The sequence below is a fragment of the Homo sapiens genome, chromosome 15 (genome assembly GCF_000001405.40).
Source record: "Homo sapiens chromosome 15, GRCh38.p14 Primary Assembly".
Taxonomy (NCBI): domain Eukaryota; kingdom Metazoa; phylum Chordata; class Mammalia; order Primates; family Hominidae; genus Homo; species Homo sapiens.
The window spans coordinates 65,115,522-65,139,369 of NC_000015.10; the positions used below are offsets into that span (position 1 = coordinate 65,115,522).

The 23,848-nt window shown below is 45.5% G+C and overlaps 1 protein-coding gene across 1 annotated transcript, besides 3 other annotated features; it reads right to left on the reverse strand.

The window, feature by feature from the left end:
* Window positions 1-1,857: 1,857 nt before the first annotated feature.
* On the reverse strand, window positions 1,858-18,287 carry PDCD7 (programmed cell death 7). The gene is made up of 5 exons (NM_005707.2): window positions 17,391-18,287; window positions 13,511-13,649; window positions 4,197-4,433; window positions 3,855-3,942; window positions 1,858-3,319 (listed from the first exon to the last, which is right to left on the reverse strand). The coding sequence occupies exons 1-5, from the start codon at window positions 18,258-18,260 to the stop codon at window positions 3,196-3,198; spliced, it is 1,458 nt and encodes a 485-aa protein (NP_005698.1). The 5' UTR covers window positions 18,261-18,287; the 3' UTR covers window positions 1,858-3,195.
* Window positions 17,513-17,912: a silencer, noted in NCBI's record as "silent region_6551". NCBI's record gives its function as "represses an Ori minimal core promoter by ATAC-STARR-seq in GM12878 lymphoblastoid cells {active_cell/tissue: GM12878}" and the evidence as "EXISTENCE:reporter gene assay evidence [ECO:0000049][PMID:35858748]".
* Window positions 17,973-18,182: a silencer, noted in NCBI's record as "silent region_6552". NCBI's record gives its function as "represses an Ori minimal core promoter by ATAC-STARR-seq in GM12878 lymphoblastoid cells {active_cell/tissue: GM12878}" and the evidence as "EXISTENCE:reporter gene assay evidence [ECO:0000049][PMID:35858748]".
* Window positions 18,473-18,572: an enhancer, noted in NCBI's record as "active region_9593". NCBI's record gives its function as "activates an Ori minimal core promoter by ATAC-STARR-seq in GM12878 lymphoblastoid cells {active_cell/tissue: GM12878}" and the evidence as "EXISTENCE:reporter gene assay evidence [ECO:0000049][PMID:35858748]".

Sequence of the window (23,848 nt, forward strand, 5' to 3'; positions counted from 1 at the left end):
TGAATGAATCTGGGTCTTATCAGTGGCCGCTAACATCACAAAAAAAGCCAAGACATCAGTGCCTCCTGACTGGAAGTACACATTATGTCTGTGAAGTATTCCTGCCAGAAAATTCCAATCTGAATGTGATCAAGCCTCTAGATCAGCACTATCCAATTGAAACGTGATCCACATATGTAATTGCACATCTCAACTCAAATAGATCACATTTCAAGTGCTCAACAGCTGAATGTGGCTACTATATTGGACAGTACAGCTCTGTTTAACTACTAAATTATAGGACATACGAGAACAGAGGGACATGGCATCACAAGGATGCAAACAACAGTGTATGGAGTCTATTCAGATCCTAATTTGAACAAAACGTAAAACATTTACGAGAGGGCAATTTGAACAATGATTGGATATTTGTGATATTCAGGAGTTGTTACTCCTTTATTTAGATGTGATAATGGCCCTGTAGTTAGATTTTTTTTTTAATCACTTAAAGCTACATAATGAAATATTTACAGATGAAGTAATTTGATGCCTGAGATTTGCTTCAAAATAATCCAGGGTGAGTGGAGGATGTATAGATGAAACAAGATTGGCCATAAGCTGATAATGATTTGAAGCTGGATGATGGGTACATGGAAAAAAATCATTGTACTATTCTCTTTACTTTTGAATGTATTTGAAATTTTCCCCAAGTTAAAAAAAGAAAAAAAAAGACTGTGGGATAACATTACAATAACACTGCTCATATTCTTGAAAGTACAATTCATTAAAGATACTACCATGAGTCTCTCTAAACCTGAAAGAACCAGTGGCTACTGCCACCACCACTACACACAGGTAATAAACCAGGAAAATCTTACAAATAAAAACCGAACAAGAGTAATGCTCATGTTTTGTTTTGTTTTTTAATTTTCTTTGTTTTGAGACAGAGTCTCGCTCTATTGCCCAGGCTGGAGTGCAATGGTGTGATCTCAGCTCACTGCAACCTCCGCCTCCTGGCTTCAAGTGATTCTCCTGCCTCAGCCTCCCAAGTAGCTGGGATTACAGGCGCCTGCCACCATGCCTGACTAATTTTTGTATTTTTAGTATAGATGGGGTTTCACCATGTTGGCCAGGCAGGTCTTGAACTCCTGACCTCAAGTGATCCATCTACCTTGGTCTCCCAAAGTGCTGGGATTACAGGCGTGAGCCACCACACCCAGCCTGATCACTTTATTAAAACCTTGCAAGGGCCAAAGGAAAAAGGGATTTTTTTTTTCTCCATCTGTGGCTAAATGCCACCTTCTTGGGTTCTGCTGTCCGAGTTTTCCTGAGTCCCTGCAGCACATTCCCTGCCCTCACAGCAGATATCTTAGTGGCAAGGCTGTCCAGACACCAAACACACATCGTACAATTCACCTTATTTCTACTCTTCCTGCATCTCATCAGAGAGCAAATGGTGGAGATATCTAACAAAAAGGCACACAGGATTGTGGAGCTCTATGAGGGTAATCATATCAGATTTTAAGATTTATAAGCGTAGACATACATTTTGGAGACATGTGGCCCTCATTCCCTATCTGTTGACTCTATATAATGTATAAATTAATGCAAATTAAACAACAGAAAAGGGACAAAGCCATTAGTATCTTGCACCCAAAAGCTTCCAACTACAGTACGTAACATTATTTCCAAAATTGATGGTATCCTTACCAATCCAGACTTGGATTTTGCAGATAAAGTTTAGCATTTAAGATTCAAATTCCTGTAACAAATGCCTGCTTAATAAATTTGAATTTTTGAATGAAAATATGTTTCATCAATGTGAAAGTGTGTGTTAAGTGATTTGGAAGGCAACAAATTGGCAGCAAAGGCACAAACTAAAAAATAAAAATGATTTTTATTTAGTTTTTTGGAAATATAACAAAATAATTGGCAAAAACCAAACCAAAACAGAACCAAAAAAATGACATGTTATATGAGTGATCATCTCCAAGCACAACAGCATTTATTAATGAATATAAAAAATAAATTTTACTTTTTTTTTTTTTGAGACGGAGTCTTGCTCTGTCTCCCAGGCTGGAGTGCCGTGGCGCGATCTCGGCTCACTGCAAGCTCTGCCTCCTGGGTTTTACACCATTCTCCTGCCTCAGCCTCCCCAGTAGCTGGGACTACAGGTGTGCACCACCTACGCCCAGCTAATATTTTTTTGTATTTTTAGTAGAGACAGGGTTTCACCGTGTTAGCCAGGATGGCCTTGATCTCCTGACCTCGTGATCGGCCCGCCTCGGCCTCCCAAAGTGTTGGGATTACAGGCGTGAGCCACTGTGCCCGGCCAAATTTTACTATTTTTATTTGCTTTTTCCCCTAGATTTGACTACATGGATAGTTTTAGAAGCTTGAGTTCCTAAGATAATTCCATAGCTACACTGGCTCCTACAATGTGACTGAGTGAGGTTAGGGAAATATCCTTGGGGATTCTGAACAACTAGACCCTTAGAAACTTAAAAATAACAGGTGCTTTCATTAGGATCCTTCTAACATGGAAAAAATACAGCCATTGTCCATTAAAATACAATCCAATTTGGGTACTCTTCAGGTTTTCTAAGTTCTCCATCTGAATAATAAGACTAGGCCACCATCTTTTCTGGCAACCCAGCCTACAGCCACTGCCATCTTCCTAACTAGCAGCCTCCTAAGCTGCACTAAAACTGGGATTAACACAACTGAAGATAACATTTTTGACCTTTCTTCCTAGAAGTCAAAGGGCTCTTCAGGTAGGAAAGGTCAGGAGGTTTTGCATCAAGCTTGCCTTCACACTCACTATTAGTAGAAGGGCTGTGAAATCTACCCATCACACACCTGTATTCAGTGTTTGAGTGTACTTACCCATCAACACACAAGGAAGTTAGAGTAAATTAACAAGTCACTCTGGACCAAGCCCCTCAAAACAGAGGCAAATTTGGTGAACCAAGGTCATTCACTGCCTGTGGTAAAAACCTCAGTTCACCTAAGTCCTTTCCTGAAAAACCACATTAATCTGATTCAAGAGGCACCTCTGGCCAGCACAGAGCACAGAAGGAAAGCATAACTTCAGGGTAGGGGAATGCCACATGGAATTTAGAAGTTGCAGTTTAGTCTACAGCAAAAGATGGCACCATCGCTAATATTTACAGCTGGAAAGAGCGCTGGCTGGACCACACTCCTGGAGCATCTTTACTAATGCAGCTTAACAGCAGTTGCCCAGATGTCGTTGCTGGGGAGCGGGGGAAGGACCCATCCTTGGGGAACGAAGTTGCCTTTGGGATGATCGGATGGCACCAGGTACTGATCCCAATCATGCCTTAATAAGAACATTATAGAACAACTATTTATTTCTGTTTTATTCCAAATAAGATGTTCAGCAACTACATATTCTAAGACTTAGCTTTCAAATGACTGATATACTAATCTATTACAGAACTTGATTTCTAGGAATCAAGAAAATGACTATATTTCTTAAATGTACATATAAAAAGAGGAAAAACTCTGAAGAACTTAAACCTTATGGATAACCAAATAACAAATAAAGTCAATCCTCATTATTTACAGATTCTGTATTTGCATATGTGCCTACTAACACAGGGCAAGTCACAACCTGAGTTTTTTTCTTCACCTATAAAAATAGGGACATCAACTTCTCAAGGACTAATGAGGACTAAACAAGATGTATGCAGCATCCTTGAAACATGGAAACATTATAAACCCATAGTTTTTTTTAAGTTCCTTATGGAACTTAAAAAAAAAAAGACAGTAATAGACCTAAACAATGTAAGCACTTCTTCAAGTGCTTCCTGCTACCTAAGAGAAAGACAACATGGAGAGCCAGCCCCTCTGACCTGATCTGGATGAGCGCTGGCAGGGAGTGCTCGGCTTGGAGATAATACTGTCGGAAAGGCTCCAAGAGGTGAGCAAGTGGGAACTCATCTGAAAGAGAAAAGCACAATACCACGTTATCATGCTTGATATCCACAGTGTATTTCTCAAGGCAAGGTGACTGAGCCTATGATTACGACAGAATGAGAAAATGTGTTCTATCTGTATCCATGAGTTCTATGACACAGAATTGCATCTGGAAGGTGTCATTTGTTGCCTACCACCTCTTAGCTTGAGATCACCCGTGATGAGAAGAGCGTCAATCTAGTATTTTCATTTTCTCCACTGGTTATAGAGCAACATACCTGGATCCCCAAACAACTTGGACTCAATTTCACGTTTCTGAAGTAAAATTTTCTCTTTTTCTTTTCTTTGTTTCTTTTCTAATTCTCTTTTCCTCTCTTCCTCTTGTTCTCCTTCTAGCATAACTCTGAGGGCTCTCTCTTCAGCTTCATACAGTTCAGAGCGCTTTTTAATGAGTTTTCTCAGTCGCTGAAGATGATGCGTAAAAGTCTCATCTGCTGAGGCTGGAGGACAGACCCCTGGGCAGACAGGACAAAATGGCATTTTATTTATTTTTTTTTTTGAGACAAGGCCTCGCTCTAACACCCAGGCTGGAGTACAGTGGTGTGATCATAGCTCACTGCAACTTCAAACTCCTGGGCTCAACCCATCCTCCCACCTTGGCTTCCCAAGTAGCTACAAGTACAAGTGTGCACCACCATGCCTGGCTTTTTTTTATTTTTTATTTTTTATTTTCAGATAGGGTCTCACTCTGTTGTGCAGGCTGGAGTGCGGCAGCATGACCACGACTCACTGCAGCCTCGACCTCCTGGGCCCGAGATCCTCCCACCTCAGCCTCCCAAGTAGCTGGGACCACAGGCACGTGCCACCACATCTAGCCAATTTTTTTTTTATTTTTGTAGAGACAGGGTATCCCTGTGTTTCTCAAGCTGGTCTTAAACTCCTGGTCAAGCAATCCCCCTGCCTTGGCCTCCCTAAGTGCTGGGATTACAGGCATGAGCCACTGTGCCTGGCCCTACCTACTAATTTGTAAATTTTTTGTATGAGGTCTCACGAGGTCAGGAGATTGAGAACATCCTGGCTAACACGGTGAAACCCCGTCTCTACTAAAAATACAAAAAATTAGCCAGGCATGGTGGCAGGTACCTGTAGTCCCAGCTACTCGGGAGGCTGAGACAGGAGAATGGCGTGAACCTGGGAGGTGGAGCTTGCAGTGAGCGGAGATCACACCACTGCACTCCAGCCTGGGCAACAGAGTGAGACTCCGTCTCCAAAAAAAAAGACCAAAACTTTTTTGTATGAGGTCTTGCTATGTTGCCCAGGCTAATCTCTAACTCCTGGCCTCAAGCAATCCTACCAGCTTGGCTTCCCAAAGTGAGCCACTGCATCCAGCCCAAATGGCCTTTTACACACGTTTTCTTATCCCAAAATTTGTGTTATAATGAGGAAGTTTAAAAGTCCTAGCTATAGTATGTATCGGTTAAAATTTAGAAATTTTACCCAATCTTTTAAGGCTCAATTTGATGTTTCTGAGTATTCAATTACTCTGACCCTACCCTGACTTTCTCAACTCCTCCCTCTGGATCATCCACACCACTTAACCTCTGACTTTCTTTCTTTTTTTTTTTTTTTTTTTGAGATGGAGTTTCATTCTTGTTGCCCAGGCTGGAGGGCAATGGTGCGATCTCAGCTCACTGCAAACTCCACGCATCCCGGGTTCAAGCGATTCTCCTGACTCAGCCTCCTGAGTAGCTGGGATTACAGGCATGCACCAACACACCCGGCTAATTTTTGTATTTTTAGTAGATGTTTCTCCATGTTGGTCAGGCTGGTCTCGAACTCCTGACCTCAGGTGATCCACCCACCTTGGCCTCCCAAAGTGCTGGGATTACAGGCGTGAACCACCATACCTGGCTTCGACTTTGTTTATTTCTAATGGTCTTGATCCTCCACTTGAAACAGTGAGCTCACTAAAGGGAGGAACTTGTCTTAACTTCATTGTTTGTGAAATTCCCTTAGCATCAACTCCCAGATCTAATTAATAAACAATTCTTCCTCTGACTGAGTGTGAATTTTGGGAGTGCACACTTGGATGGTGAGGAAGATACACTTAAAACAACCACACTGACCTTGCAGTCTGCTGCTGACAGTAGGCTGACCAACTGTTTTGGTTTGCCTGCATGTAGCACTGAAAGCCCCAAGTCCCAGTAAAACTGGGATGGTTATTATCCTGATTTAACTATGAGGTCAGCTAACAGTATAGCCAACATATCTAAAGCCACAGTGGAGAAAATAGTCAGGTTATTAGGTGATATCAAAGAATTACTGCTAATTTTTTTGGTGTGACAATGGTATCATAGTTGATGATGAGTGTTTATGTATTCTATTTTTGTGCATGTGTGAAATGTTTCATAAAGTTTCATAAGAAAAAAAGATTTTAACTTAATGAATATTTGAGTGGACTGCAATTGTGCACTCACTACCATAATGGCCCTGTAATACAAAAGCTTCCAGGTGAATCAATGTAGAGTGATGTGGATGTGATCTATCCTGTCAGTCCTTGAAGATTTTAAAGGAAAATATGTTACCCAAGCATTTTAGCAATACCAGATACAGGGCCAAGCGTGGTGGCTCACACCTGTAAACCTAGCACTTTGGGAGACTGAGGCAGGCAGGTTGCCTGAGCTCAGGAGTTCAAGACCAGCCTGGCCAACATGGTGAAACCCCATATCCACTAAAAATACAAAAAATTAGCCGAGCATGGTGGCGTGCGCCTGTAGTTCCAACTACTCAGGAGGCTAAGCCAGGAGAATCGCTTGAACCCAGGAGGTGGAGGCTGCAGTGAGCCAAGATCATGCCACTGCACTCTGGCTTGGGTGACAGAGCAAGACTCTTATCTCCAAAAAAATAAATTTAAAAAAAAAGAATACCAGATACAAGAAAGAAAAAAAAAATCCTAATCCCATTACCATAATCAACCATTTTATACTTTCTCACATTCTCTTCAGGTCTTTTTGTCCATGTATTAGCAACTTCATATAGTTCAACGTTACATGTATGTAATTTCCACTTCTCCCTGTTGATTCTGTACGTTCTTCTCCAATCTTCATAATTATTTAATGGCTGTATCCTATTTCATCAAATCAATACACTAGAATATACTTATCAAGTTCCCTACTCCTGGACACCTAAGCTATTCCAAATGTCCTGTTATTATATTGTGATACAATGAATATTCTTGGGCATGTTACTTTTTTCCTTCCTAGGGATTTCTATCAGAAAAATTCTTGGCCGGGCAGGGTGGCTCCTGTAATTCCAACACTTTGGGAGGCTGAGACGGGTGGATCACGAGGTCAGGAGTTTGAGACCAGCCTGGCCAACATGGTGAAACCCTGTCTCTACTAAAAATACAAAAATTAGCCGGGCGTGGTGGCAGGTGCCTGTAATCCCAGCTACTCAGGAGGCTGAGGCAGGAGAATCGCTTGAAACCAGAAAGCGGGGCTTACAGTGAGCCGAGATCGCACCACGGCACTCCAGCCTGGGCAACAAGAGTGAAACTCTGTCTCAAAAAAAAAAAAAGAAAGAAAAATTCTCAAAAATGGAAATGTTTGTGAATACTTTCAAGACTAACAAACTGTGTTCTAAACTGCTTCCTAAAAAAGCTATATATTTGCTCAGTTACCAAACACTTGACACAGAGAAGGTAATTAATAGATACTTCTTCAATGAATGAATGATTTTCAACAAGGTTTTTTTGTTTGTTTTGTTTTGAGACGGAGTCTCGCTCTGTCACCAGGCTGGAGTACAGTGGCGCGATCTCACCTCACTGTAACCTCTGATTCCTGGGTTCAAGCGATTCTCCTGCCTCAGCCTCCCGAGTAGCTGGGATTACAGGCATGTGCCACCATTCCCAGCTAATTTCTGTATTTTTAGTAGAGACAGTGTTTCACCATGTTGGCCAGGATAATCTTGATCTCCTGACCTCATGATCCTCCCACCTCGGCCTCCCAAAGTGCTGGGATTACAGGCATGAGCCACCATGCCCGGCCCTTCAACAGGGTTTTAACAATTTATGCTGCAACTTGTGTTATACAATAGTGCCAGCTTTGAGCACTAAATTTTCAGTTTGGGCTGATAAATGGCATAAATAATGGTTTCTCAAGGTTAGTAGTTCTGTTTCTTGTAAAGTTGTAATTTGGAGGTAGGATTCTTTCCTCCTTCAACCACTACAGCTAAGTGGTTGTGGAACTCACTCTCAAGGCTAACATTTCTCTAGATGATTTTCTCCTAACTGCTTTGCTTCTACAGGTTTCCATTCACTCATTCTCAACTACAGAAACACTACAACTCAAATTTATCTTCTACTAAGTTGCCAGGCCAGTGTTTTTCAAGTATACACAAAATTCTTATACACTGACAAATTTAAGCTGTCACTCTGTTTTATAATAATCTAACGGTTTTGTTTCATTTCTTTACCTTTACAGGTAAATATTTTAGATTTTGTAAGCCATACAGTCTCTGTTGCAACTACTAAAATCTGTCTATGGCGAAATACACAGATACTCCATCATCCTATGTTAGCCTAAAGACCCCATGAAGAGATGTAGGCTGCTGAGCCTGGGCCACCAACCCACATCTCTCTCGGCCCCTCACTGATCACTCCCTGGTCAATGTAACATATTCCCTCAGAAATGGCACTCCTGGGGCGGGAGTGGTGGCTCACACCTGTAATCCCAACACTTTGGGAGGCTGAGGCGGGTAGATTACCTGAGGTCAGGAGTTTGAGACCAGCCTGACCAACGTGGTGAAACCCCATCTCTACTAAAAAAAATACAAAAATTAGCTGGGTGTGGTGGTGCATGCCTGTAATCTCAGCTACTCTGGAGGCTGAGGCAGGAGAATCGCTTGAACCTGGGAGGTGGAGGTTGCAGTGAGCCGAGATTGCACCACTGCACTCCAACAGGGGCAACAAGAGTGAAACTCCGTCTCAAAAAAAAAAAAGAAAGAAAGAAAGAAAAAGAAAAAGAAACAGCACTTCTCACACAGTCTTCCTCCTGGCACCATCTAGGTTCCCTCCACTTCTACCACTCACTGTCCACCTAGTCCTGCAGCTCCTAGACACCAATGCCTTTGCCTCTATTCCCCTTTAGCCACATGCCTGCAGTCCTGTTCAGTCTGTGGACCTTGGCATTATCAGAAAAAACTTTCTGCCTCTTAAATCTTAAACTTGATTATTCTCTTATCCAACTACAACTTTCTCCCTTATAGTACTTTTACTTCCTTCTCCCCAGAGACCCATTTGGCAGCTTCATCAAAACCTCCGGACCTGATGTATCAGATTCTATCCTTCTGCTACTCCTTCGCCACAAAACTAATGGTCACCCCACAAAGCAAAACCCCAACAGCCCCGTGCTCTGTGCTCACCTGTCAGCTACAGTACTACTGGAAGAGGTCATTTGATTGTGTCATCCATTGCCAATATATGTCAGCTGGACCCATAGCACCCCCTGCAACCATCTTCCACAAGTCTCTGTTGGCTCTCACCCATTCTTCACAGCAATTAAATCAAACCTTCACTGCTCTCCTAAAGCCCCACTTGTCTACTGGCGCTCAGCAAACCATTTACCCTGTTTCCCAGAGAAAACAGGCCAGCAGACAGGAAATCCCTCAAATATCTGTCCCCATTTACACACTCATGTGCATCACTACCTATCTTCATCTCCTTCATTTTCATGCTTGTGTAAGATGGGTCCTTCTTCACTTAAGTTAATCCCTCCACCTGGGATCTGAATCATCCTACCTTCCATGGGACCTTGAGCCATCAACTATTCTTCCTGCTTCTCTTTGACCCTTCCCCTTCTACTCACTCCTCTCAGCAATTTTAACCATGCTTAAGTTTTCCCCATGACCCAAAGACACACAACACCCCTCACCATCACCACTACCACACACCTTGCCAGATACTGATGTTGCTCTTTCCTTTTCTTCACAGGCAATCTTTTAATAAGTTGAATTATCTGTTTGCTTTTCTTGTATCATATTCATTCTCTAACCAACTGTAGTCTGGCTTCTACCCCCACCACTCCACTGAAATGCCCCTAGCATAGGTCACTAATGACCGGTTGGATACTAATTCCCATGGATGTTCCTTATTTCTTGATAATAAAAAGAATAATAATATGAAACATGTATATAGCATTTACTATGTGCCAGGACTGTTTTAAGTACTTTACACATATTTATTAATTTAATCCTCACGACACCCCATGGGTAGGTACTATCATTACTCCCTTTTTGCAGATGAGGAAACAAAGGTTCAGAGAAGCTCAAGTAACCTGTCCAAGTGTATTAATCTATTCTCACGCTGCCAATAAAGATATACCTGAAATTGGGTAATTTATAAAAGAGGTTTAATTGACTCACAGTTCTACATGGCTGGGGAGGCTTCACAATCATGGCGGAAGGTGAAGGAGGAGCAAAGTTATATCTTACATGGTGACAGGTAAAGAGGGCGTGTGCAAGGAAACTCTCCTTTATAAATCCATCAGATCTCATGAGACTTATGATCACAAGAACAGCATGTGAAAGACCTGTCCCCATGATTCAATTACCTCCCACCAAGTCCCTCCGACGACATGTGGGAATTATGGGAGCTACAATTCAAGATGAGATTTGGGTGGGGACACAGCCAAACCATATCACCAAGACTACACAATCTCTCTCTAAGCACTTGCCACTTTCCAGAAGGAAGCAGGGAGTCTATCTTTTCCTCCCATCTCTCTGACCTCTCTTGGTCTCTTTTTTGCTCTCTTCATCTTCTACCTTGATTTTGACATTCCCTATGATTTTGTCTTTTTGGCCCTCATCTCATGCTGTACAATCTCCTTAAGGTCATTCTGACTCATGGCTACATGCTAATGAACTCTTATCCAGGATGTACCACACACACCTCAAACTCGACAGGTCCCCAACTGAACTTGTCAACCCTAAACCTGTTCCTCCTCCCTTGTTTTCCTTCTTAATTAGAATGGTATCGGCCAGGCACAGTGGCTCACACCCTTAATCCTAGAACTTTGGGAGGCCAAGATGGGAGAATCGCTTGAGCCCAGGAGTTCGAGACCAGCTTGGGCAACATGGCGAAACTCTATCTCTACAAAAAATTTAAAAATTAGCCAGGTGTGGTGGTGTGCACCTGTAGTCTCTACTACTCAGGAGGCTGAGGTGGGAGGATCGCTCCTGCCTGGGAGTATAAGGCTGCAGTGAATTATGATTGCACCACTGCACTTCGGCTTGGGCGACAGTGCAAGACCCTGTCTTTTAAAAAAAAAAAAAGCAAAAAAAAAAAGCTATCTTCACTTATTCAGTAGATGAGGCTAGAATCTGGAAGACATTTCATTGTTTTTCCCTTTAGTTCCTGTACTCTGAGTTCCTTAAATTATTTATTTATATGTACATGGGTATATACACATATACCTTTATTCATTATCTCTCAATTCTTTGACTTGAGAATTATTCACTAATAATTCTGAATTACTCAATTATTCACTATCACTTGAATTACTCATTACCTCTCAATTCTCCTACACACTGACGTCACTCAGCTTATGCTTCCATACTACCCGTGCCCAATAGCCTTACCCATCTCTCTGCCCTTCTCTCTCTCTCCTGGATGCTCCAAAACTTTCTCTGCTCTACTGGCACTGATCTTTGCCATCATTTCACTTAAAAACTTTCAGCGGGGCCAGGCGTGGTGGCTCACGCCTGTAATCCCAGCACTTTGGGAGGCCGAGGCAGGTGGATCATGAGGTCAGGAGATCGAGACCATCCTGGCTAACAAGGTGAAACCCCGTCTCTACTAAAAATACAAAAAATTAGCCGGGCGCGGTGGTGGGCGCCTGTAGTCCCAGCTACTCGGGAGGCTGAGGCAGGAGAATGGCGTGAACCCGGGAAGCGGAGCTTGCAGTGAGCCGAGATTGCGCCACTGCAGTCCGCAGTCCGGCCTGGGCGACAGAGCGAGACTCCGTCTCAAAAAAAAAAAAAAAAAAAAACTTTCAGCGGTTCCCCAAAGCTTTAAGTATAAGTGAGAACTCTAGCATAGCCCATAAGACAATTTGCAACGTGGTCCTGCTTAAACATCCAGCCTCATCATTCAGCACTTAGTTGGAGGTGCACACATCTTGAAGAGAGAAGTTAGCTGCTCATTTTAAATATGCATGCAACCAGCTGCTACTTACCAAATCATTTTACATTCAAGTCACTTAATGCCACAAAGTCTGTTTATTTCTATAGATAATGATTTTCCTAAAATTTCCTCCTCCTTTTGGACCAAAGTGAGGAAGATTAATATTGGGAAATGCTGGTAAATTCACTTGGCAGAAGTTTACTGAGCACTCACCTCATAGAGGATGTGAGGTGTGGGAATATTAAATAGCTCTCAGGTTTTGCCTTCTAGTGAAAAAGAGATGGGTAGACAAAGCAGATGCTAACTTCCCTCTGATTTACAAATGCCCTGAGAGTACCACAATGGAGGCATCTGTTTCTGAGGTCTGGATGTGAATTAGCCGCTCTGAAGGCTAGTATGCAAAAGCCAATCACTTAGCTAGCAAACGAGCCTGGGTGAATACAAAATGGTCATATTCCAACACAACTTTCTTAAGGGTCTAAAAGAATCCCAGTTTTCATTTACATTTTAAACAACACATGGGAAATCATTTGTTAGAGTGGCATTTGCTAATTTGTACACTCTCAAATATCTCTGGTGAATACCAAAGGCCTACAATCTACTAAATAAATCAGCATGTGGTCCAAAGCAGGTGCAAGTGAGAAGCAACAGGAGGTTACCTCAGCCCAGATCAGGGAAGGATGAAGGATGCTGCATGTGTATTTGGTTTTGAATAGTGAGATCTTAAAATGGCAAAGATGGGACTGAGGGCCCTCCAGATGAACAGAATGACAACAGCTAAGATCCAGACAGGCAAATGGAAAGCACAATTGGGTAACTTCTAGAAAGCCAGCATGGTTGAAACAAACTTCGGTGGAGAAGCTTGAACTGCCTGGCTATAGTGTCTGGTGCTTCCTCCAGAGGCAAGAAGAGACCAGTGACATGAAGGGAAGGTGGGGAAATCCACACAGTCTGCAATCCCTGCCCTGTCCAACCATTCATACCTCTTCAAATAGAAATAATTCAGGTTTGAAATGTATCTGAAGAAGCATGCCAAGTTTTCAACACTTTCTGGAGCAACAAGTAAGGGTGAAAAGCTTTCACTCTGGCACAAGGCAAAGGTGACTAGCCATGACAAGCCCACTCAGAAGAGTGTGGCCAGAAATGCCCAGGGTAGGAATGATAAGTCAAGGGGAAGACAGTGCAGTGGGTTCCCACACTTGCCTCTCTTTTCAATCTGGGCTACCACAGGCTAAACATCTTCTGAGGCTTCCTGCTTCAGAAGTTCTGACCTACTTGCTGACAAGCCCAGTTACCCGACAAGGTGAAAATCATGAAGTTTCAAGTATTTTTCCCTCAATAATATTTGGGGTGGGAGGAGCTAGAGTAAAGAAGGGGAAGGGAACAAGGAAAGAAATGCAAAGCCACAGTTACCTTTCCTCGCTGCAGCCTCTTTCCTCAGTTTCCTCAATTTCTCCAAAGCCCGTAGAATGTCCACCATTCTTTTGGTATCTGCTTGTTTTTTCCTCACTTCAGATAGTACGCCATCAGCGGCTGCTTTGAGTTCCTGCTCCTGGAAGAGAAACAAAGCCCATGAGACCTCGTATTAGGAACAAACTTACAGCAGAGAATAGCTGCCCAGTGGTTAGATTTTAAAGGATCAGACAGTCTCCAGGTTAAGAGAGACTCTATTGAATCTCCATCCCAATTTCTTAGGCCTTGCACAACTCCCCTCTAGCTAAGAGGTTATCCCCCTCCACTGATGGTACAACCTTCATCTTAAAGGAGAACCTCTCCTCTCTGTATCTTCCACATAGCACTGGTTTTGTTTCTTCCTCAGTGTTTCTCAAAGTGTAGTGCAGAGATCAGGTGTCCAACTTACCTTGTTAAGCTGAGACTTGTTAAAAATGCAGATTCCCTAGACCTGAAGATTCAGATTCCCAGGAAGGATAAGGAATGTGGCTGGAAAGGCTGAGACCTCTACAAAGGTCTCTTAGTGACAACCTATGTTTGTGTTCCACTGCTCTAAAGTCCCAAGGATCTCTTCCACATGACAGCCTTTCAAATACCAAAGATTGCTGTCCTACTCTTGACTTAGTTCACATATAGACTAAATAACCCCAGTTCCTCAAGCCACTCCTCATAAGACTCTGTCACCAATATCCTCACCATGGAAGCTGGGCATAATGGCATGTGTCCCTAGCTATTCCTACTCAGGAGGCTAAGGCGAGAGGATCACTTTAAGACCAGGAGTTCAAACCTACAGGCTATGACAAACCCGCTGCACTCCAGCCTGGGCAACAGAGTGAAACTTTGTATTTTTTTTTTTTTTTTTTTTTTTTTTGAGACAGGGTCTCATTCTGTTGCCCAGGCTGGAGTGTAGTGGTGTGATCACAGCATCACCATGCCCAGTTAATTGTGTTTTTTGTAGAGACGAGGTTTCTCCATGTTGCCCAGGCTGGTCTGGAACTCCTGGGCTCAAGTAATCTGCCTGCCTCAGCCTCCCAAAATGCTGGGATTACAGGAGTGAGCCACTTCGCACCCGCCCCCAACCCTCTTTTTTTTTTTTTTTTTTTTTTTGAGATGGAGTCTCGCTGTTGTCCAGGCTGGAGGGCAATGGCGCGATCTCGGCTTACTGCAACCTCCGCCTCCTGGGTTCAAGCGATTCCCTGCTTCAGCCTCCCAATTAGCTGGGTTTACAGGCTCCTGCCACCATGCCCAGCTAATTTTTTGTATTTTTAGTAGGGACAGGGTTTCACCACGTTGGCCAGGCTGGTCCCGAACTCCTGACCTCAGGTGATCCGCCCGCCTTGGCCTCTCAAAGTGTTGGGATTACAGGCATGACCACGGCGCCCAGCCCCAACCCTGTCTCCTTAAAACAATAAAATAAATAAAATAAAAAGTTCACCATGGGTGGTGGAGAGAATCCTCTTGCCTAAAGTGCTCTCCCCCATCTGTCAAATAAGTGCCTGTAATTCCACCACTACAGCTACAGCCAACACCAAGCTGTTTCACTTCTCCATTTGGATTACTCTGTTTCCCTGGAACTGCACCTATTACCTTCACCTGGGTGACTTTTCCTTTAAGACTCAGCTTATAGCCAGGAGTGGTGGTGTGCACCTGTAATCCCAGCTACTCTGGAGGCTAAGGCAGGAGAATCGCTTGAACCTGGGAGGCAGAGGTTGCAGCGAGCCAAGACGGCATCACTGCACTTCAGTCCGGGCAACAGTGCGAGACTCTGTCTCAGAAAAAAAAAAAAAGACTCAGCTTACGTGTCATTGTATCATTTGGGAAGCATTCCCTCAGTAAATCAGATGTTCCTTCTTTGGGCTTTTACAGCACCTATAGTTGAATTCCTAACACACACCACGCTATACTGACATGATCTCCCACAGATCTCTAAGCCAGGGGTCAACAAACCCCAGGCCACGGATGGTAACCAGTCCATGGCCTGTTAGGAACCAGATCACACAGCAAAAGATGAGGCAGGCGAGCAAGTGAAGCTTCATCTCCATTTACAGCCACTCCCCCATTGCTTGCATTACCACCTGAGCTCCGCCTCCTGTCAGATCAGCAACAGCAGCATTACATTCTCATAGGAGCACAAAGAAGTGAACTGCGCATGGAAGGGATCTAGGTTGTGGGCTCCTTATGAGAATCTAAAGCCTGATGATTTGTCACTGTCTCCTATCACCCCCAGATGGGACTGTCTAGTTGCAGGAAAACAATCTCAGGGCTCTCACTGTTTCCACATTATGGTGAGTTGTATAATTATTTCATTATGTATTATAATGTAATAATAATAGAAATAATGAGGAAGAGGAAAGGGAACCCCAGAGGCAATCAAAGGTAATGAAAATGCCTTAGACGGCCAGGTGCAGTGGCTCACGCCTGTAATCCCAGCACTTTGGCAGGCTGAGGCGGGTGGATCACCTGAGGTCAGGAGTTCGAGACCAGTCTGACCAACATGGAGAAACCCTGTCTCTACTAAAAATACAAAATTAGCTGGGGTGTAGTGGTGCATGCCTGTAATCCCTGCTACTCGGGAGGCTGAGGCAGGAGAATCGCTTGAACCCGGGAGGTGGAGGTTGTGGTGAACCAAGATCATGCCATTGCACTCCAGCCTGGGCAACAAGAGCGAAACTCCATCTCAAAAAAAGAAAGAAAGAAAATGCCTTAGAAAACCATCTGAACAATTTCCAGTTTTACCCTGGCCCTGCTTAAAGAGTCTGAGATCAATACGCTTTGGAATTAGACAACTTGGGATCAAATATGGGAAACTGCCACAAACTCGTTGTGTGACTGTTGGCAAGTTAACCTCTCTATGCAACTTCCTAACCTGTAAAATTAGCATAATACTTCCTACTTCTCAAGGCTGTTATAAAGATTCAAAATCTGGTATATGTAATGACCTTAGCACACCTCTCTCTATATATACACAGATACATACATATATATACACACATACACATACATACATATATATACACATACATATATGTATGTGTATATATATGTATGTATGTGTATATATATATATATATATAGTAAATGCTCCGAAACACCATTGCTGAACCTGGGGATACATGGTTTAAAACTTGTAAACAAAAGAATCCTAGGGAAATCACTATTGCCCCATCAGCTAATTAGAGTATATATATTCCTTGAGGTAGGGTCCCCAAGTTCTCTATTTTTTTTTTTTTTGAGACGGAGTCTTGCTCTGTCGCCCAGGCTGGAATGCAGTGGTGCGATCTCGGCTCACTGCAACCTCCGCCTCCAGAGTAGCTGGGATTACAGGCGCCCGCCACCACGCATGGCTAATTTTTGTATTTTTAGTAGAGACGGGGTTTCACCATCTTGGCCAGGCTGGTCTTGAACTCCTGACCTCGTGATCCACCCGCCTCCGCCTCCCAAAGTGCTGGGATTACAGGCGTGGGCCACCGCGCCCGGCCTGTATTTTGTATTCTTAAAACCACCTAGGGCAGTACAAGACACAAGGAACTAGACACTTACTGGTTTTGAGAGTAAGTGGACAATGTTGGAGCAGGATAGGGGAGACCTGTCATTCGTGCAGTGCCACCGTGTAATCCTATACTTTGTGTTTACAGGATTTTACAGTGCACCTGGAACTTTTGTGTACCACACATCATTAACACAAAATTAACATGGTGGTATGAGCTGGGAAGGTTAGCTATCGCTTCATTTTGCGCGTAAAACAGAGGCTTAGCCCTGGGAAATGGAAGTTTAAAGCCTCCTGCTGCTCCAGGTTCCAACCACCACCACTCCTACCCCCATGAGCGGCCGCTGCTCTCACCCGCTTCTTCTCCTCCACCTCCTGCACACACTTCACCCTCCAGCGGTCAATCTCCTGCTCGCGTTCCACTGCCCGCGCGGCCTCTGCCTCCCGCTCGGCCTCGCGTTCCCGGGCCCTCTCGCGAAGCCGCAGCCGGCGGCGCCGGACCCTCTCCAGCCTCCTCCGCGCCTCGCCCACATAGGCAGCCTGGGTCAACGGCTGTAGCCGCTCGGCCAGTTCCGCGCGCAGCGGCGCGGTCTGGGAGTACAGCAGGACCCAGGCCGCGCCGTCGGCTTCGGCCTCGCGCAGGGCCTGGCTCAGGCCGCGCAGCCGCCGCACCAGGCGCAGAGCCCGGAGCAATCGCGCGCGCACTTCGCCAAGGCTGGGCCCGGCATGCGTGCGCTGGGGCACCGGACAGCCTGCCCGCCGCGGGGTCCCGAACACCGCCTCCAGCCACTGCCGGTCGCGCAGGCGTTGGAGGGCCGCATCCCCGAGCACGTCGGCCGGCGGCGGCGGCGCCTCAGGCCACCGCGGGCTCCAGGGCGGCCCCGGGCCGGGAGGCGGTGGCCGCGGCCGCTCGCCGGCGTCGGTCCCCGGGAAGGGCCGACACTGGGGCGGCGGAGGAGGCAGCGGCGGTGGTGGCACCGGGTAGAAGGCGCCAGCGCCGCCTCCGCCGCGGGAGGCCTCCGCGGAGGCTCGGGGCTGCAGAGCCAGCGGAGGCTGAAGGAAGGGGGCGGAGGCCCCCGGAAAAGGGCCGGGCCGCTGGGGGAGAGGCGGCGGGAAAGCCGGGGAGGGCAGCGGCGGTGGCGGACAGCCGAAAGGAGCAGGAGGCGGCGGCTGCGGGGGCGGTGGGCCTGGGCGACCCTGGCCGAAGAATGGTGGCAGGGCCATGTTCACGACGGAGATGCTTTGAGAAGTGACAGGAATCTGAGTGGCTCCTCATGAGAACCTTCCGACGGAAGTGACGTCGTTACGACGCGCGACCCCTGTAGACTCGTCCCTCCGGAAGGCTCAGTGCATAAGTGGGCAGTCGTTCAACCTTCTGTCGTTCAGTTCATAAATACCGTTCTTATTGAGCATCCTAGGTGCAGAGCTACCCACTCCGCATACAGTGAGACTGAGAGATACAGAGCTTCTCTTCGTGGAACTATCTGCCTAGTATAACACACTAATCAATTAATCATGGTGAGTATCTTCGAGAAGTTGGAGAAGGTTATCCTAAGAAACTGCGGCTGCAGCTGAGATCTGGAAGATAAATAGTTAAATAGAAAAAGAGAGGGAAGCACAGTGCAGATGAGAACATGTGCAAAGGCCCTAGTAAATAGGAGTGTGACCAACTACCCATTTTCTTAGAAAAATGAATTATTTTTACTTTTCTCCTTTCACCCCACCTCCTATTTAGCTCTTTAGGAATGCAATTATAGGGTGGGTGCTGTGGCTCACGTCTGTAATCCCAGCACTTTGGGAGGCCGAGGCAGGCGAGATCGGCCTGTAGTCCCAGCCATTGGGGAGGCTGAGGTGGGAGGATCACCTGAGCCCTGGGAGGTAAAGACTGCAATGAGCCACGATAACGCCACTGCACTCCACCCTGGGCGACAGAATGACACCTGTCAAAAAAAAAAATCCAATTAACCTTTACCTTCTCTCCACCAGACACTCTCTACACTGTAAGCTTATCTAATTATGTGTTCGCTTATTAGTTCCAAGGACCGAAGCTTAAACCAGGGACCTCTGGAACTTTCCCATACCAGGGGATTGCCTGGGGACAACTGTCAATTTACAACCTAGCTCCCCGCTACCCCCCACCCCCCCTCCGCCTTCGCCCCAGCCTCCATGGCGCCAACCAGATCACTGATGGATACATAGGAGCAAGTCCCATAGACCCAGCACCTCCTTGGTCCCTCCCCACCCCTTGCATGCCATCCAGGTCAACCAAGTCCCGTGCACCCCCCACTTTTTTTGAGACAGAGTCCCTCTGTCACCCAGGCTGGAGTGCAATGACGCACTCTCCACTCACTGCAACCACTGCATCCCAGGTTCCAGTTATTCTTGGTGCCTCAGCCTCCCTAGTCAGTTGCTGGGATTATAGACCCCTGCTGCCACGCCTGGCTAATTTTTGTGTTTTTAGTAGAGAGGGGGTTTCACAATGCTGGCTAGGCTGGTCGTAAACTCCTTACATCAGGTGATCCGTCCACCTTGGCCTCCCAAAGTGCTGGGGTTACAGGTGTGAGCCACCACACCTGGCCACTTTCTTTCTTTTTTTTTTTTTATGAGACAGAGTCTCCCTGTGTCGCCCAGGCTGGAGTGCAGTGGCGTGATCTTGGCTCATTGTAAGCTCTGCCTCCTGGGTTCATGCCATTCTTCTGCCTCAGCCTCCCGAGTAGCTGGGATTACAGGTGCCCACCACCATGCCTGGCTAATTTTTTTGTATTTTTAGTGGAGATGGGGTTTCACCATGTTAGCCAGGATGGTCTCGATCTCCTGACCTCATGATCCGCCTGCCTTGGATCATGTTGGGATTACAGGCGTGAGCCACCGTGCCCGTGGCAGTCACTTTCTTTTTACCATTCTCTTACTTGTTATTTGAATTTGCAAGCTGCAGGGAACTGGACCTGCCTTAGGTTACAGGACTATGTCTAGTGGGAAGCCTGATAGAATGCCAGTTTTGGCCTGTAATCCCAGCACTTTGGGAGGCCGAGGCGGGTGGATTGCCTGAGCTCAGGAGTTCAAGGCCAGCCTGGGCAATATGGTGAATTCCTGTCTCTACTAAAACACAAAAATTAGCCAGGTGTGGTGGTGCGTGCCCGTAATCCCAGCTACTGGGGAGGCTGAGGCAGGAGAATTGCTTTAACCCAGGACGTGGAGGTTGCAGTGAGCCGAGATCACACCACTGAACTCCAGTCTGGGAGACAGAGCGAGACCTTGTCTCCAAAAAAAAAAAAGAATGCGAGTTATGGATGGAGCTCTGAGAGGAGTCTGGTGATCCTGGTGAAGTGAAGTCCTAATGTCTGGGGTCTCATATCTTATGAACAATGGGAAACTATTTTGTTGTTGTTGTTGTTGTTTTGAGACCAAGTCTCACTCTTGTTGCCCAGGCTGGAGTGCAATGGCGCGATCTCGGCTAACCACAACCGCCACCTCCCAGGTTCAAGCAATTCTCCTGCCTCAGACTCCTGAGTAGCTGGGATTACAGGCACACACCACCATGCCCGACTAATTTTGTATTTTTAATAGAGACGTGGTTTCTCCCTGTTGAGGTTGGTCTCGAACTCCTGATCTCAGGTGATCTGCCTGCCTCAGCCTCCCAAAGTGCTGGGATTACAGGCGTGAGCCACTGTGACCAGTGGGAAACTATTGGTTTTAAACAAGAGGTAAAGAGAAGCCTGTGCCACCTGATTAGATTTTTAAAATTAAACTATTTTGAGACAATTGTAGATTCATATGGAATATGAGAAGTAGTAATACAGGGAGATTCTGTGTACCCTTTACCCAGTTTCCCCTAAGGGTAACATCTTGTAAAACTGTAGTACAGTATTGTCAGAGGCATTTGAACCAGAGTGACTCCATCTTGAGTGAGGGCTAGGAAAAGTGAAGCTGGGACTTGCTTGGCTGCATTCCCAGGAAGTTAGGTATTCCTAGCCTCTAGATGTTTATGGTTAAGGGAACAGACTAATAACATTTACTAAACAGACCCGTACTTAGGAGTGTCCTGAGATCCCGATATTTTGAGAATAGAAGCATTCCTAATTTTGCTTTAAAGATAATAATGTTGATTCTTGTAAAATATAGTAATTTAAAAAATTAATCCTTTATCACAAACCCTTGTGGCAGAGCACATCTCCCCATGATCTTTTTTTATCCTATATATAAGCAAGCATTCTACCTAGGGTGGACACGTTTCTCCTCTTACTTTCAGGAACGCCCTACTGTCTATGGAGTAGATATTCTTTCACCACTTTACTTTCTTAATAAACTTGCTTTTGCTTTGCACTGTGGACTTGCCCTGAAATCTTTCTTGCACAAGATCCAAGGACCCTCTGTATTAGTCTGTTTTCATGCTGCTAATAAAGACATACCTGAGACTGGGTAATTTATACAGGAAAAAGGTTTAATGGATTTACAGTTCCACATGGCTAGGGAGGCCTCACAATCATTTGGAATGCTGGGATTACAGGCGTGAGCCAGTGCACCCGGCCCCAGACCTCAATTCTTGACTTTTGCGCACCCGCAGGCTCAACACCATGTGGAAGCTGTGAAGGCTTGGGGCTTGCACCCTCTGAAGCCACAGCCCAAGCTGTACCTTGGCCCCTTTTAGTCACGACTGGAGTGGCTGGGACACAGGGCACCAAGTCCCTAGACTGCACACAGCAGCGGGACCCTGGGCCTGGGTCATGAAACCATTTTTTCCTCCTAGGCCTCTGGGCCTGTGTTGGGAGGGGCTGCCGCAAAGATCTCTGACATGCCCTGGAGACATTTTCCCTATTGTCTTGGAGATTAACATTCAACTCCTCGTTACTTATGCAAATTTCTGCAGCTGGCTTGAATTTCTCCTCCGAAAATGGGATTTTCTTTTCTATGGCATTGTCAGGCTGCACATTTTTTGAACTTTTATGTTCTATTTCCCTTTTAAAACTTGATGCCTTTAACAGCACCCAAGTCACTTATTGAATGCTTTGCTGCTTAAAAATTTCTTCTGCCAGATACCCTAAGTCATCTCTCCTAAGTTCAAAGTTCCACAAATCTCTAAGGCAGAAGCAAAATGCTGCCAGTCTCTTTGCTAAAACATAACAAGAGTCCCCCTTGCACCAGTTCCTAATGAGTTTCTCATCTCCATCTGAGACCACCTCAGCCTGGATTTCATTGTCCATATCATTATCAGCATTTTGGTCAAAGCCGTTCAACAAGTCTCTAGGGAGTTCCAAACTTTCCCACATTTTCCTGTCTTCTGAGCCCTCTAAACTGTTAACCTCTGCCTGTTACCCAGTTTCAAAGTTGCTTCTACATTTTTGGGTATCTTTTAAACAGTGCCCCACTCTACGGGTACCAATTTACTGTATTAGTCTGTTTCCACGCTGCTGATAAAGACATATTCAAGACTGGGCAATTTACAAAAGAAAGTGGTTTAATGGACTTACAGTTCCACATGGCTGAGGAGGCCTCACAATCATGGCGGAAGGCAAGGAGGAGCAAGTCACATCTTACATGGATGGCAGCAGGCAGAAAGAGAGCTTGTGGAGGGAAACTCCTCTTTATAAAACTATCATATCTCATAAGACTTATTCACTACCATGAGAACAGTATGGGGGGAACCACCCCCATGATTCAGTTATTTCCCATTGGGTCCCTCCCACAACACATGGGAATTACGGGAGTACAATTCAAGATGAGATTTGGGTGGGGACACAGAGCCAAATCATATCACCCTCTCTTGGGATCTGGATTGGGACCCCTTTCCAGTAACAATATTGAAACTGTAAACCCCCCAAATTTGAGACAGGTCTCAGTTAATTTAGAAAGTTTATTTTGCTGGCCAGGTGTGGTGGCTGTAATCCCAGCACTTTGGGAGGCTGAAGCAGGTGGATCATGAGGTCAGGAGTTTGAGACCACCCTGGCCAACATGGTGAAACCTCATCTCTACTAAAAAAAAAAAAAAAAAAAAAATACAAAAATTAGCCGGCTGTGGTTGCATACACCTGCAATCCCAGCTACTCAGGAGGCTGAGGCAGGAAAATTGCTTGAACCCGGGAGGTGGATGTTGTAGTGAGCCAAGATCACACCACTGCACTCCAGCCTGGGCAACAGAGCAAGACTCCTCTCAGGGAGGGAAAAAAAAAAAAAAGGTTGAGGACGCACCTGTGACACAGCCTCAGGAAGTCCTGATGACGTGTCCAAGGCGGTCAGGGCACAGCTTGCTTTTATACATTTAGGGAGACATGAGACATCAGTTAGTATTTGTAAGTACATTGGTTCAGTCTGGAAAGGTGGGACAACTTGAAGCAAAGGCAGGAAGACTTGAAGCGGGGAGGGCGCTTCCAGGTCACAGGTGATACACAAATGGTTACATTCTGTTGAATTTCTGATTAGCCTTTCCAAAGGAGGCAAATCAGATGTGCATCTATCTCAGTGAGCAGATAATTGACTTTGAATAGAATGGAGGCAGGTTTGCCCTAAGCAGTTTCCAGCCTGAGTTTTCCTTAGTGATCTTAGGGGCCCAAGATATTTTCCTGTCATAAAACCATCCCTAAAAAAACTTTTTGTGGAGTTTAGGGAAAAGGAGTGGGGCTGGCAGGACTGAGGGAGAGCAAAAAGGAAAGGCAGATAAGCTACAAGTCTGCCTTTCTTCATGGTTCAGGACACATAGCCCTCCTGCGCTCATATCTCACAATCTTCCTGTGCCCAGCTATCACCAGACCCTTGGCTTATAGAAAAATGCAAGTTAGCTAACTGCAACCTTGGTTGCAGTAATCAGTACTGCACAA